We start from the raw sequence: 14,948 nt of genomic DNA, 5'->3' as shown, positions 1-14,948 counted from the left end.
TGTCTGGATGTCTGTGTGTGGGGGCGGGGTGTAGGTGGTATTGTGGGTGTGGTTGTGAAGAGAAGGGAAGTGAAGCACTGGGTGGAATAAAGAGGATCAGAAGCCACTAACTTGTAAGAAAATCAGTTAATGAGTTCATAGTAACTTCTAGACATATAAACAGACTAGACTGAGAGGTAGGTAGGAATTGGAAAACTAGCAGAATTGTACTGTGGAATGCCAGAAATAATAGTGCCTGAAGATAGTTTAAGAGGTACATTCTCTGGCAAATAAGAGAACCATGTCAGGAGGGCAGAAAAACTGCAGTGGATTTTCCTGAAACCATAACAGTATAAAAAGGACACTGTGCCCATGCAAAATGGAAAGGGAATAGCAAAATAAAAACAGATTTTAAAATGCACAGACCTGGGTTTGAATTTCTGTGCCATCACTTGGTAGATAGGTGACCTTAGAAACAGTGGAAGCTAAATAATGGTAATCTACTTAAAGCTTCCAGGACAATGCCTAGAATAGAGTGGATGCTTAACAGATAATACTTCTTGATTCCCTTTTCTTTGTAAAAGTATATTAAACTAAATGTAATTAAAGGTGAAAGCACATGGTCAATGGCCCAGTAACATTTTTCTGTCTTGCAGTGTAACACAAAGGCATAATTTTTAATTGGAGTGGTATATAATTCAACTATAAATTAGGGAAATGCACCTAATTTTGTATTTACTTGGATAATGAACAAGGAAGGGATTAGAAGAAGGGATGAGTAAGTATTCCTGAGCAACATGAAATTCAATGTTTTAACTTTTTACTTAGTGAAAAGAGTATGAGCTTTGTTATCACAAAAACATGAATTTGAATCTCAGCTCTTTTGTATCCATTTGATTTAGGGTTATGTAATCATCAGGACAAACTAGGCTATACTGCAGCATAATATAATAAAAGCTAATTCCCTGAGCATGTTCTATATTTCAGGAATTGTTTTAGGTACTGATATTCTATGTTTAACAAAGCAGACATGATCCTGCCTGCCTTCATAGAGATGACAGTCTAGTTTGCTTTCAGCTAGAGTTCCCTTGGCTCAGCTGAAAGGTACCATACAGATGAGGGAAGGGGATTTCTTTCCTGTGAAATCAAACTGATGGGAAAATATGATGAAGGGGAACTAACAAAAGACCATATTCCATTCTACAGATGGTGGCTTTGCTTTCCTGAGCAGTCGTAGTGAGAGTTACTAAAGTCAAAATAGAGTGTATTGTATATACCTTTTCCCATAAATTGTAATGTTGGGACAGACCATTAGCATATGTGTATAGTTTTCTTTTGAGGATATTATGAAATTGTGTTTTTATGTTATCTTATGTCTATACTCTAAATGTGAGAGCCTCTTATGGGGTGAGATGGATAGTCATCAATAGTAACGTGCTAGTGTAGGAAAACCATGGGCATTTGAATTGTATGCATTCAAATTAAAGATCTGCTCTCATCTCTTGACAGATGTGTGACTTTGATAAATTATAGAACTTGTCAGAACCCCAGTTGTCTTATCTGTAAATAGGGATAATAATAACTACATCACAGGGTTGTTGTGAGAATTAGAATATGATGACAATATGATATCTATAAAATAATGAGAACAATACCTATTACTAAATAGTCAACAGTGAATTGTTGTTCTGATTTCTTATTTTTAAAAAGTCACAATTATTGTAAGTTTATGACTGTTTCACAGAAATCCTTTGGTTATTCTCATTTTTTCATCTCTGGACTTTGGAATTTAAAAGGGTTGCTAGAGTAGGGTTTGTTTCCTCTGTCATTCTTTCAGTAAAGTCTAGGGAATAGAGACATCATAGAATGCCCAACATAGAAGGGACTCTACAGATCATTTAAATCTTTTTGTTTTGCAGATGAGTAAACTTAAACCCAGAGAGGGAAACTGACATGCCTAGTGCCACAAAATAAATGAGCCAGACTTAAAGACAGCCCAGTGCACTCTTCTCAGCAGCTTAGGTCTCAGAGAAAGAACACTTGCAGAGACTGATGCTAGGGTTCTTTTCTTTCTTATCCTGTGAAGTCACTCTCCAAAGATACCAAAATCCTCTAACTTGATATCAAAATTAGAAAATAAAAATACTAAGCCACATATAATTTAGAGGCAAACTGTGGGAAAGAATAGAAATAATACATATGAGGTGAGAATTTATTGATTGAGTGCTCTGTGCTAGGTATTGACCTAGGTATTTACATATACTATTTCATCTAATCCTCAGTGTTTAGGTATTTTTATTTCCCCTATTTTATAGATAAGACAACAGAAGCACAGAAAAGTTGAGTAATTTGTCTAGTTGCTTTGCCAGTATGAGATAGGATGCAGGATTTGAATCCAGGTAGTCTAACACTAGGGCTTATATTCTTAATCATTTTATTATATTTACTCTCTTCAGGATGATAATAAATGGTAGAGTAATTAACTGTTCCCACTTTTCCTTGGACTTTCTTAGTTTTAATCCTGAAATCCCTAAGTCCCAAGAAGCCTCTCAGTCCAATGCAACCCAGGTATCTGTAATATCCACAAATAAACCCATATATTATCAAATAGGATGGTGCATATGATTATTTTCCCAATCCCAAAATACCATGTGATTTTAAGAGACTATTTCAGAGAGGTGGCTGGGATATACTTAAATGAAAACTGAACTGGAAGTCAGATTAAAAACCTGAGGATTCTTACAAGCTTTTAGCTAGCTACTTCATTGCTTTAAGCCTCAATATTTCCACATATAAAAAGAGGGATAGCATTAAGAGATATACCTAATGTTAAATGAAGAGTTAATGGGTGCAGCACACCAACATGGCACATGTATACGTATGTAACAAACCTGCACGTTGTGCACATGTACCCTCAAACGTAAAGTATAATAATAAAAAAAAACTCATAGAGTTTTTTTTTGTTTTTTTTTTTTTACAAATTCTACTTGAAAACATAGCTGTGGAAACTTTTTAAAACAATAATGTAAAATCCAAATGTAAGGGAAAATGATAATAATGATGATAACAATGATCATGACGACAATGTTGATGATAATTTAGGTTCAGTGAAGTCAAGTCTCTTAGAAATGTTCAGTAGTTTCATACCATGTACAGAAGCAAGTGGTAATCTTTTATTATTCATTCAAAAAATAAATATTTACTGAGCCCTACTGTGTGCCAAGTATTGTGACACAAGGGCCTTGATGACCTAACCCTGTTTTCCTCTCCATTCCCATCTCCTTTTCCTCTTTCACCTCTTAAATATCTCAGAGTTTCTTCTCTTACCCCCGCTCTGCTGATGTTATGCACTCTCTTTTTATGATTTAATATTCACCCAGAGCTTCAATAAGGTCCCGGAACATTTATCTCTAGCCCTTAACTGTCTGCTAGAAGCCATACCCCATTTGTAACTGCCTCCTACACATGTACCCTTGAGCATTTCACATACACCTCAAACTAAACTGTCTAAAACTGTTATTGAATAGTAACAATAATATTGTTATTAGTATTATTATTTGAGACAGGGTCTTGCGCTGTTGTCCAGGCTGAAGTGTAGTGGCACAATCTCAGCTCCCTGCACTCTGCCTCCTGGGTTCAAGTGATTCTCATACCTCAGCGTCCTGAGTAGCTGGGATTACAGGCATGTGCCACCATGCTTAGCTAATTTTTATATTTTTAGTAGAGAAGGGGTTTCACCATGTTGGCCAGGCTTGTCTTGAACTCCTGGCCTCAAGTCATCTGCCTGCTCGGCCTCCCAAAGTGCTGGGATTACTGGCATAAGCCACCATGCCTGGCCAGATTTATTTCCTTACATTTGCTCTTTCTCCTTTGTTCTACATTTCATTCAGGGTATCATCTTTTGAACTGTAATACAAGATGGAAATAAAATAGTCTTTTCAAATTTTTTCTTATCCCAAAATCCAAATATCCAAGTACCACAGATTATATTCCCCATTATCTCTCAAAGACATTTCCTACTCTTCAAATTTATCACCACGGTCTTATTTCAGGCTTTTACCTATTCTCAGCATTACTGCATTCAGTTTCTTCCTAGCCTTTTTGTGTTTATGGTTCTCTCTCCTGATTACAGCCCTGCACCCCCATTTTGCAATCCATCCTCCAGATTGACACAATAATGTTTCTAAAATAATAATCTGATCTTATAACTTTTTGGTCCATGATTCTTTAATGACTTTGTAGTGTTTAAAATTAAGTTCATATTCTAGAGCTTAATGTACAAGACTTTTTATGACCTAGAATTTTCTACCTCTCTAACTTCATCTCCTACTATTTACTCCCCTCTGTTTATACACCCACACAGCTCCAACCGTAAAGAACTACTTGTAATTTCTTATATATAAACCATAGGATCTCAAACTTCCTTGCTTTGTACATTCTCTTTCCTCTGCCTGAAATATCATTCTTCCCCTTACTTTCTAATTTTTTTAAAAATTTTTCGTCCACCAATCTCCCACTCATCTTATAAATGTCAATCACTCTGGAAATTTTTTCCTGATCACCTAAACCCTTGGGTACCACCTAAACGTTTGTGCTCCCAGAGCTTCATGTTTGACTATTTTCTGGCCCCAATTGTTCTATATTATAATTGCTTACTTATCTCCCCTATAGGTTAATAAGTAATTTGAGGTGGGGATTATGTCTAGCATAATACCTGGTACATAGTAAATGTTTCTAGAGGACTGAGTGGATGAGTGAACAAATGAACCAGGTTTAATCATAAAGAGAGCAGAGGGATCTTGGAACAGTTGGGGACACTAACAAGTTTATGGAGCCAAATTATATAGAAGTGCTATATTGATTAGGATTCTTTGCTTGTAAGTGGCAGAAATCAACTCAAGCTAGTTTAAGTTGAAAAAAACAAGAGTTTATAATAAGATACGTAAGTGTCTCATAAGTACCATGAGTACTTATTGGACACTCTTTGTTCCTTATCTCAGCCTTTATTTTTCTCTGCTTTTCCTTCCTGACATGCTTTTTCTACATCTCCTTGCCCAAGACAGAATGTGGTGACCGTGCAGTTCTCTTTATCTTATAATCTACCCTGTGCATCATATTAGTCATCAAATCCCAAACGTCATACTTCCTCAGCATCTCTAAAATCAGTCACTTTGTAGGGGACTACGTACCCAGAGACTTGCTGTCTCTCCTAATTTTGATGTCCTGTTGAAAAAAAATCTAATTTGTCTAACTCAGTCAATCAGCTATGACCTGGGGGTCAGAGTTACACATTGCAGATTTGAAGCTGCAGATCCACTCCTTTGGATCAGGTGTGGAGGAGTCTAACTTTTGATAACCAAGTGCTATATAACTGCATCCCAAGTATTTCCTGTCTGCTGAGTTGAGCAAGTCTGAAAGTATTTCTAGGTTGAAGCAAAGCTATTTGCATATTTCATGGTTAGCAGTCTCTTCATTCTGGCTGGAGTTAGAGATTGAAAGGATCCGAGCTAGTGGATGGGGCACCGAGAATGGTGGCAAATTCCCCAAAGGGATGGCTTGATAAACGTTATAAGAGTTGTAATTTGTCCAGTCAAGTGGGATGGAGTTTAAAATAGTGCTTTATTCTCACAGGAAATCTTATTGATAACTGAAGTGAAAACTAAGAGCTTGGGCATATCCTGGATGTAAAGAAGTAGGCCCCTGTGATAGCAATGGAAGAAAGTCTGCAGGTAAATGGTACATTGAGGCTTATGACCCAGCATCTAATAAAAGCTTATTTAATGTTTTTGATTAAATGAATGAGTAAGTTGGGCCTGCTCCCAAGCACTAAGCCCTGAGGTCAGGGTGTTATAAGCCTTATTCTAAATACCAATTTCTGATACGGATAGGGCTTTTCATGTACATGCTTGATGTTCATGGGCTTGATGACTGGATGGGACTAAGATATAAGGTGCAGGTCTCCGGTACCTGCCACTTGGTAAGGTCAGGGACCTTGAGGAATGGTCGTGGAGAAAGAGTACAATGTTCTCATTGAGCACTTGGATACACCTTCTTTTAAAGACCAAAAAAACTGAATTACAGTTAGTTATATAGGGTACATCTGCCTTGTGAGCGTCTGGTAGTCAAGGAGAGGTTTTATTATTTTTAGTTTCTAGCCTAGGATCTGACACATAGTATTTACTTAACAAATGTTACTTAAATAAGAGAAAGGATAAATAATTTCTAAGTACAGTATCATCAACCTAATGTTTGCTTTTTCTTCAAATAAAGTTGAATTAAAGTACATCAGTTATCTCAGTTATCTGGCTGCTGCTGGACAGTATCAGAAAATGTACTTTTTCTACTGCTTTTACCTTTAAGAAATCACTCCAGAATTACACAGAAAATGCTATTACTGGTCAATTAGATACCATGCACAATGTCAAACACAGAATAAATGTTTCTCTTCCAGACAGAATAACTGCTGCCTTGTTGTAATCGATGTTCATGGAAAGAACTCTGTCATATTCTATGCTCCAAACTCTTTGTCATCCTCTGCTGAACACTCATTTAACTGTCTTCTAGACATTGACTTGTCACTAGGGATGAGGTTTTTTTAATGATACATTTAAATTTGTTGCTTCATAGTGGATGCAAAGCCACTGGAGACTGGCTTTTTTTGGTATCCACCTACCTATATTTATATTTGACTCTCCAAATGGGAGATTCCTTAGTCAGTAAGCATAAATGACTTATTTATGACATTATGCTCCTTCTTTTTTTTCTCTTATTAAGCAAAGGCAATTTATATTATGCAGCTTTCAAATGTATTGTTCTGGTCACAGTTTAGAAGTTTCTATTTTTATTTGTGTAAAATATTTATGAAGTGAGCATCCCAAGACACACAAAGTACAAATGTAAGATCAAGGACAAGAGCAGTAAAATAGGCCAGACTCTCCAGATTTTGTAGTTTTTTTCTCTTTATATCTTTTTATGGTATGACAGAGTTTTCAGTAAGATAGGGTTATTTAATGACTCTTCTGTGAAAGCAAGGCCTTACATTGCAGCAAAAGCCTATTTGTTCATCCAGTAGGTGTTTATTGAGCAATTGCTAATCCTAAGGCAGGGGCCTAATGGTTTTTTTTTGTTTTTTTGTTTTTTTTGAGACAGAGTCTCACTCTGTTGCCCAGGCTGGAGTGCAGTGGTGCGATCTCGGCTCACCTGCAAGCTCCACCTCCCAGGGTTCACGCCATTCTCCTGCCTCAGCCTCCCGAGTAGCTGGGACTACAGGCACCCGCCACCATGCCCGGCTAATTTTTTGTATTTTTTTTTTAGTAGAGACGGGGTTTCACCGTGTTAGCCAGGATGGTCTGGATCTCCTGACCTCCTGACCCACCCGCCTTGGCCTCCCAAAGTACTAGGATTACAGGCGTGAGCCACTGTGCCCGGTGCAGAGGCCTAATGTTTATGCAGCCATCATTAGGTTTCTGTGGAGTGTCTCCTCACGATACACTTTAGGCTGATGGAATGCTCTTTCTTCTTAGTGAAGTCTGTGCCCCTGAACTCCCGTCTGGCCTCTTCCCTGGTGAGCAGGGTGCTTCTTTTCCCCTTTTACATAAGATCTAGGTAAAGTAAAGGAATGCCTGATACTGTGCTTCCTTCCTGTTGCCCCCTCCTCTTTATTTCCATGCCCAAACAAGAGGCTACTATAGACCTGTCTTATTTCTGCTGAGTGAAAGGGAGGGAAGACATTACATAAAAAGAAGAAAAGATTCTCTCAGGCTCACCAAGCTCATTACTGCCTTTAAGGATTTTACCCTGGCTAGTTCCTTTGCCTAGAAAGGCACTCCCCCTACCTCTATTCTCATGGCTTCTTCTTGTCACTGAGATCTCAGTAAATGTTGTATTTTCTGCAAGCTTTCCCTGACCACTCACTCTACAGCAGGTTTGTATATAATCCTATTATATCACTATTTTAATTCTTTTTATAATTCCTGCTATTATCAGATTTTTCTTGTTTGTTAATGTATTTATTATTTGTATCCTCCAATACAATATAAACTCCAGTGAAGCAAGGATCTTGTCTATATTGTTCACCACCATATCCCCAGTACCCAGAATTATCCCTGGCACATAGTTGGCATTCAGTAAATATAAGCTGAGATTAATAAATATATTCCTAACAGCAACCTTGCAAGGTACATATTATTGTTTCCATTTTGTAGAAGGGAAAACAGAAGAATAAGTTACCCAAGATAATGCAGTCGTAAATTATTGAGCAAGGGTCAAATCGGATTTCACTAAGCCCAAAGCCCATACTCTTTAATTAAAAAATTAAGGCTTACTTCTGCCATTGTTCATCTCTGAGGTTGCTATTAGAGTGAATTAGACTGGTTTATTATTCATAAGGGGTTCACGCATTAGTAGGAGTGATATCAGTGGTTATAAGGTAGTATCATAGGTATCATAATAAAGGCATGAGTAAATTATTATGGTGTTACAAAGAAGGGGCCAAGAAAAGCTTCTTGGGAAGTGTCTTTAAAGAAAATTTGAAGTTTCCTGGGCAGAGAGGGATGGATTGTATGGCAAGAGAGAGACATTATAATGTGTGTCTGATAATGGAAAAAAAAAAGTTCTGCATAACTGTAGTGACCATGTGGACTCCTTATTTAAGGCCCTGCAGAGATATTCCAGTATGGCACTGGTCAGTCCAGAGGCCAGATATAAGAACCTTAACTATAATACATCTTTAACCAGGCTTTTAGATGCCCAGGACTATATTCTCTTTTGGTTAAAATGATCCTGCTCCTACTTTGTCTCACCTGCTGGACATTGCAGAGTAATTAAGACCACAGACTTTGACTGAAGACTACTTTTGTTCAGATCCAGACTCTGCTAGCTGTGTGTACTTGGACAAGTTACTTACCCTGTCTATAAAATGAGGATATTAACAATACTTACCTGATACGAGTGTTGTGAAGCTGAAATGCTTCAATATAATTAATGTATGTAGAACAGAATCTGGTACATAGAAAGTATTCTTTATTATTATTATTCATAGTAGTAAGGAGATGAATGTGTGTGCTTAGAATATCAAACTTAAGTCTTGAGGGCCAGGGCAGATGTATGAAGGAGGTAGGTGGTGATATAAATAATGCATAATATACTTACTGTACCTTGTAGCATTTGTGTTAGGGTTAAATGACACAATGTGTACAAAGTGCTTGCCACATAGCAAGCACTCAAGAAATTGTTAGTGCTGTCTTCATGATGATGATGATGATGATGATGATGATGATGGTGATAATGCTCATCATTGTCTGAACCCTGGACCACATGACTGAGGCCCTTGCTATTTGGCACTTGGCTAGCCATTGTGGGTATAGATATTGGAAAGACAGGCATGAACCCTACCCACTTAGAACTTATATGTGAGTTTAGGCTGAGTGCAGGGATAATCATGGCTTATTCATTTCTGCATTCAGTGCGTAACACTGTGTGGTTGCTTGATAACTATCTAATTGATTTATTCATTAATATGATGAAGTTATCTGATTTTACATTATATTAATTTGAGTTGACATCAGTCAAATGGAAGGATTAAAATCAACCTTACGTCACGTGTTAAGGGTCTTTTCAGAATATAGTCTTCCTTTTCCTTGTCTTCACCTCCCAGTTATTATGTACTTAAAGTTATGGAAATTAGGTTCAATCTGAAAGAAATCAAACAAATACCAGTTTTTTGGAATCAAGTGAAAAATACTATAATTGCACCAATATTTAAGGTCCAGTGCTACACAAAGCACTATATATATTCTTAACACTTTATGTTCTTATTTAATCCTTATGACTCTGCGCTGTGTAATGGGGAAATTGATCTGAGACACAAAGAACTTCAGGGACTTGTCCAGAGCCACACATATAGTAAATGGTGGAAACATAACTAGAGTTAAGGTCTTCTTATTTTCAATCATGTGCCTATTTTGCTTGGTATTTATGCCTCACTAAAATGTTCTTTTGATAACCTTAATATCTCCCACAGATAACCTTTTCTTGCACTATCCAACTTATGGATGATATTTGTCATTGATTCGTATGAAAATATAGCTGAATCCCAGATCTCAGGAGTTAATGGAATGATCTTAATGATGAGAAAACAGCCCAAGAACTCCAAAGATTAGCTTAATGAAGGAATTTCAGGTAATCGGGGTGGATTTTAACAGCAAGAGTCCTGTGCTGTGACCTCCTCATACATTGCTATGCACCCCTGAAATATACCCTACCACCTTCTCTGGATTGAACATTTCCAAGGGGCAGGTACACCTTTGCTGAGCAGAGGGCAAGCACTGTTTAAACTAATGTACTGGCCTGGCACTAATGGTGGAAGTACATCAATGGTAAGTATTGTCTAAGTGCTAGGTGTTACTGATACCTGATCCGTGCTCATGCTGTGCTTCTACACTGTATCAGAAAGGTTTTTTCCAGATTGATTCAGGGGAGAGATGCTAGGTAGTGGCTAGAGAAATGGCAGATCATGGTCTAGCTCTAAGGAAAGAAATTACAGGAGCTAAGTGAAAGGGTCCATTTGTGATTGAGTGGTCCTCCTAAAAATTTGAAATAAAAGCCAGGATCATGAAAAAGAAAATGTTTATTCATTCAACAAATATTTATTGAGAATCTATCATAAGGCAGCTACTGGACTGGGCTGGGATGTAAAATTGAGCAAAACCAGGCACTAGTGATTACAGTTCTTATAGTCTAATAGGGCAGGTAGATATTAATCAAATATTCCCACACAATAAACAGGTGTAGGAAAAATGTGTGTGGAAAAAATTACGATGAGAAGGCATGTTGCGTATGGTCTAGTGACACAGGGAGATTTCTCTGAAGAAGTGATTATTAAGGTTTGAAACAGGCTAGATGTTGATTAGGTAATACAGAGGATCAGAGACTCCATATTATTATACCCACCTACTCATAAGAAAACTAAGGCTCAGAGAGCTTACGAAACTTACCTAAGGTCATACAGATAGTAAATGGTGGATCTATGATAAAGAGAAAATTACAATAAACAAAAAAAATCTAACTCAATATGATAAATGCAATCATAGCAGTATGATTAGATTGTGGCAGTTATTGGCAGTTCTAGGACAGACTGTAACAAATTTTTCTGTTTTTATAATTTCAACTTTTATTTTAGATTCAGAGGGTACATGTGTAGGTTTATTACATGGGTTTATTGAATGATGCTGAGGTTTGGGGTACGAATGATCCCATCACCCAGGTAGTGAGCAAAATACCCAATAGGTAGTTTTCCAGCCCTTGCCCCTGCACTCATTCCCCCCTCTAATAGTTTCCAATGTCTATTGTTCTCATTCTATGGGTTGTCTGTTTGCTCTGTTGATAGTTTATTTTGCTGTGAAGACACTCTTTAGTTTAATTAGGTCCCACTTGTAAATTTTAATTTTTGTTGCAATTGCTTTTGAGGACTTAGTCATTAATTCTTTGCCAAGACTGATGTTCAAAATGATATTCTTAGTTTTTCTTTTAGAATTTTTATAGGTTGGGGGTCTTATGTTTAAATATTTTATCCATGTTGTGTTAGTTTTTTTCTATGGTAAAAGATAGGGGTCCATTTTTATTCTTCTGTATATAGCTAGCCAGTTATCCAGTTATCCCAGCACTGTTTATTGAATAAGGAGTCCTTTCCCCATTGCTTATTTTTGTTGATTTTTTTGAAGATCAGATGGGTGTAGGTGTATGGATTTATTCTAGGTTCTCTATTCTGTTCTATAGGTGTGTGGATTTATTCTGGATTCTCTATTCTGTTCCATTGGTCTATGTGTCTGTTTTTGTACCAGTACCATGCTGTTTTGGTTACTATAAACTTATAGTTTAGTTTGAAGTCCTGTAATGTGATGCCTCCAGCTTTGTTCTTTTTACTTAGGATTGCTTTTACTAGTCAGGCTCTTTTTTGTACCATATGAATTTTAGAGTAGTCTTTTTAATTCTGTGAAAAATAACATTGGTTGTTTCATAGGAATAGTGTTGAATCTGTAGATTGCTTTGGGCAGCAAAATTTTTCTTGATGGCAATTGTAAATGTACTGTATAAATGTACGTTATAAATGTACTACATAAAGTGAATGGGTGAGGCATAGTGGCTCATGCCTGTAATCCCAGCACTTTGAGGGGCCAAGGTGGGTGGATCATATGAAGTCGGGAGTACAAGACCAGCCTGGCCAACATGGTGAAACCCCGTGTCTACTAAAAATACAAAAATTAGTTGGGTGTGATGGCAAATGCCTGTAGTCCCAGCTACTCGGGAGGCTGAGGCAGGAGAATTGCTTGAACTCAGGAGACAAGGTTGCAGTGAGCTGAGATCATGCCACTGCACTCCAGCCTGGGCAACAGAGCAAGACTCCGTCTCCAAAAAAAAAAAAAAAAAGTGAGTGATCTTTGGTGAGTGATAAACTTCTACATTGAAAGCTAAGAGGTGGCACTCTATTTTCAATAGGAATTGGCAGAAAGGGAGAGGAGTGCTGTGTGTGTTTGGAAATCAGCGTCTAGAGGAGGAATCAGATCAGGCAGCCAGGTCAGCAGGAAGTTCGTATGAGGATTTAGAAACCCAAAGTCTAAATTATAGCTGAGTATAGATTGTAATGGGAGCAGTCAAGATATTCAAAGTAGGGTATTCAAAGTTCAGGGTAAAGTAGAGATAGAAGCAACAGGTAGGGCCTTATTATGACTTTTGAAAGCTCTAGGCTTTCTTACTTTTTGAGTTCTAACTCTCATCATATCAAACATTAAAATGTACCATTCAAATTAAGTAAAGTTAATATATACTTTAAAAAGAGTTGAGTTGAAGTTCAGTTGGGTAGTTGTCATTTTTGTAGGTATTTAATTTTTACTTATTTCAGTTTTGCAGGGTTGTTTTGTTTTATTTTTGAGATGATATTTTCTTCAAGTCTCAAAACATTTTCATAGGCTCTTGAAAGCCCTTAGGATCTGAGCTTCAGTGCCTAATGATAAATAAAACAAGCATAACCAGAGGAGGAAGTTAAATACTAACAGGCAGGAGCAATGAGCAGGTAATCATAGCCTTCCAAAGATCATTAGAATAAAGAGTGAGACACTAGTAGATTATCAGGTCACTTGTCTCCAACGCTGATCTTGCATTGCCAAGGGAGTAGTAGATTGTTATTTGTTCAGGTTCTTAGAATCTGAGCAAGACCTTGTATGTGCATTCTCCATCTATATTTTTAAACCACTACTGGGGCCCTCACTTCTGACTTCCCTTATTCACTGTCCCACATTGACAGCCACAAGGACAACATTAAAAAATCAGCAAGAACAAAAACAATCTAATTTATGAAATTGTCAGTTCTACAGCACTCTATGCCTCACTCCCTACTTTCCACTTTTAGTCCTTTAGTCTCTGCCAAACTCAGCTTCATAGACTCACCTAGTTTGCATAGTCTCATTTGAGTTGGTAAATTTCTTTTGTTTATCTGACTTGGCCATGGCAAAATATTTTGGGGGAATCAGAGTTGTTGTTTTCACATTGTGTTTTTAATACCTGTAGAGTGATCAAGGTAGAGTATTTGCCTCAGTTTTCAAAAGTGAATCCTAAGGTATAAAAAAGATATGTGACTACATAGGGTTTCAAAGCCACTGGTGGTGAAAATAATATTAAAATTCATATTTTCTCATTTCTAGTCTGTGCTATTTCTTACTCCTAATGTGTTTTGGCCTCTGTTTTATTTTTCACCTGTAAAACAGGATGAACTCCGGTATTAAATAAAAGCAAACTAATTGTATGAACATCATTTATTTAAGTAAGTAGAGTTAAAATACAGACTAAAGTGATAATATTAATATCAGTTAACATCTTTAAGTTGTTTTATAGATTAAAAGAAAAGCTTTTCCAGATGTTCTATCTCACTTATTTCTCATAATGAACTTGTCATTTGTCTATGCTTATTTTCCATATTTTAGAGAATAAAAAACCAATATCATTCTCTCTTAAGAGACTCACCCAAGATCACATAGGCATCAAATGGTATAGCCATAAGTCAGGTTTGGTATTCTGATGACAAATTCTATTTTCTATCTTCTATGGCATATCAATGCCTTTCTCCAACTTCAAAGTAGTAGAAACCCATTAATATAGTTTCAGTTAATATGAAAATGGAAATAACTCAGGCTAATGTTTGCATTTTCTATGCAAACTTATTTTTAGTAGAGCAAATAATTGTATAAACCTCTTTGTAAGAGGGATTATTTATAACCCTCCAGAGATCTGACAGCTTTTGAACAGTTCAGAAATGTCTACTTTCACAAATCAATGTGAATACTTTATATGTGTGCCTTTAAGTGAATCTCCAAATGATCTGTACTAAATCGTAGTTTATTGGCCTGCTTTTAGTTACGACAAATATTAAAAAGTAATACAATTGCATTTAAGTATTTTGTGATTCATACATTTAATTAAATCAGAACCATCTTTTAATCATGAGAATGACAAAATTCCTCATAGTTTTACATTCCTTTATAGTATCAAGGTGCTTTTGCATTCATTATATCCTTTGATCTTGAAAATTCCTTAAACTGAATAAGGCAAATATTATTTTCATTTTACAAATGAAGAAACCAAGGATAGAGAGGTGAAATGACTTGTCAAAAGTCACACAGCAAGGGTGTACGAAAGTCAAGTTGCTTATTGACACTGATGTTATATAATTAGCAATCTTTTCAAAGGCTACAGCAGATTCTTTTATTAGATTACAAACTCATGGTACAAGAAACATCTCTATCTTATTTAGCTTTGTAACTTCAGTGCCTAGCACAATGTGTGGCATAATGGAAATGCTCAATAAATATTGGTTGAGTGAATGGAGAAGGGTTTGGTGTCATAGAGTCACAGGTCTTGAGGAGAAACCGCCCATGGGAAGATTGGGCTGAGGGAAGCTTTTTGAAAAGTGTGTTGGA

General features: G+C 36.8%; 1 protein-coding gene across 10 annotated transcripts in view; it reads left to right on the top strand.

Annotated features, from left to right (window-relative positions):
• AGBL4 (AGBL carboxypeptidase 4) overlaps positions 1-14,948 on the top strand; it is a 1,501,444-nt gene that overhangs the window by 490,740 nt on the left and 995,756 nt on the right. The window lies entirely within an intron of this gene.

This window comes from Homo sapiens, chromosome 1 (genome assembly GCF_000001405.40).
Source record: "Homo sapiens chromosome 1, GRCh38.p14 Primary Assembly".
Taxonomy (NCBI): domain Eukaryota; kingdom Metazoa; phylum Chordata; class Mammalia; order Primates; family Hominidae; genus Homo; species Homo sapiens.
This window is presented reverse-complemented; position numbering and strand designations above follow the sequence as displayed.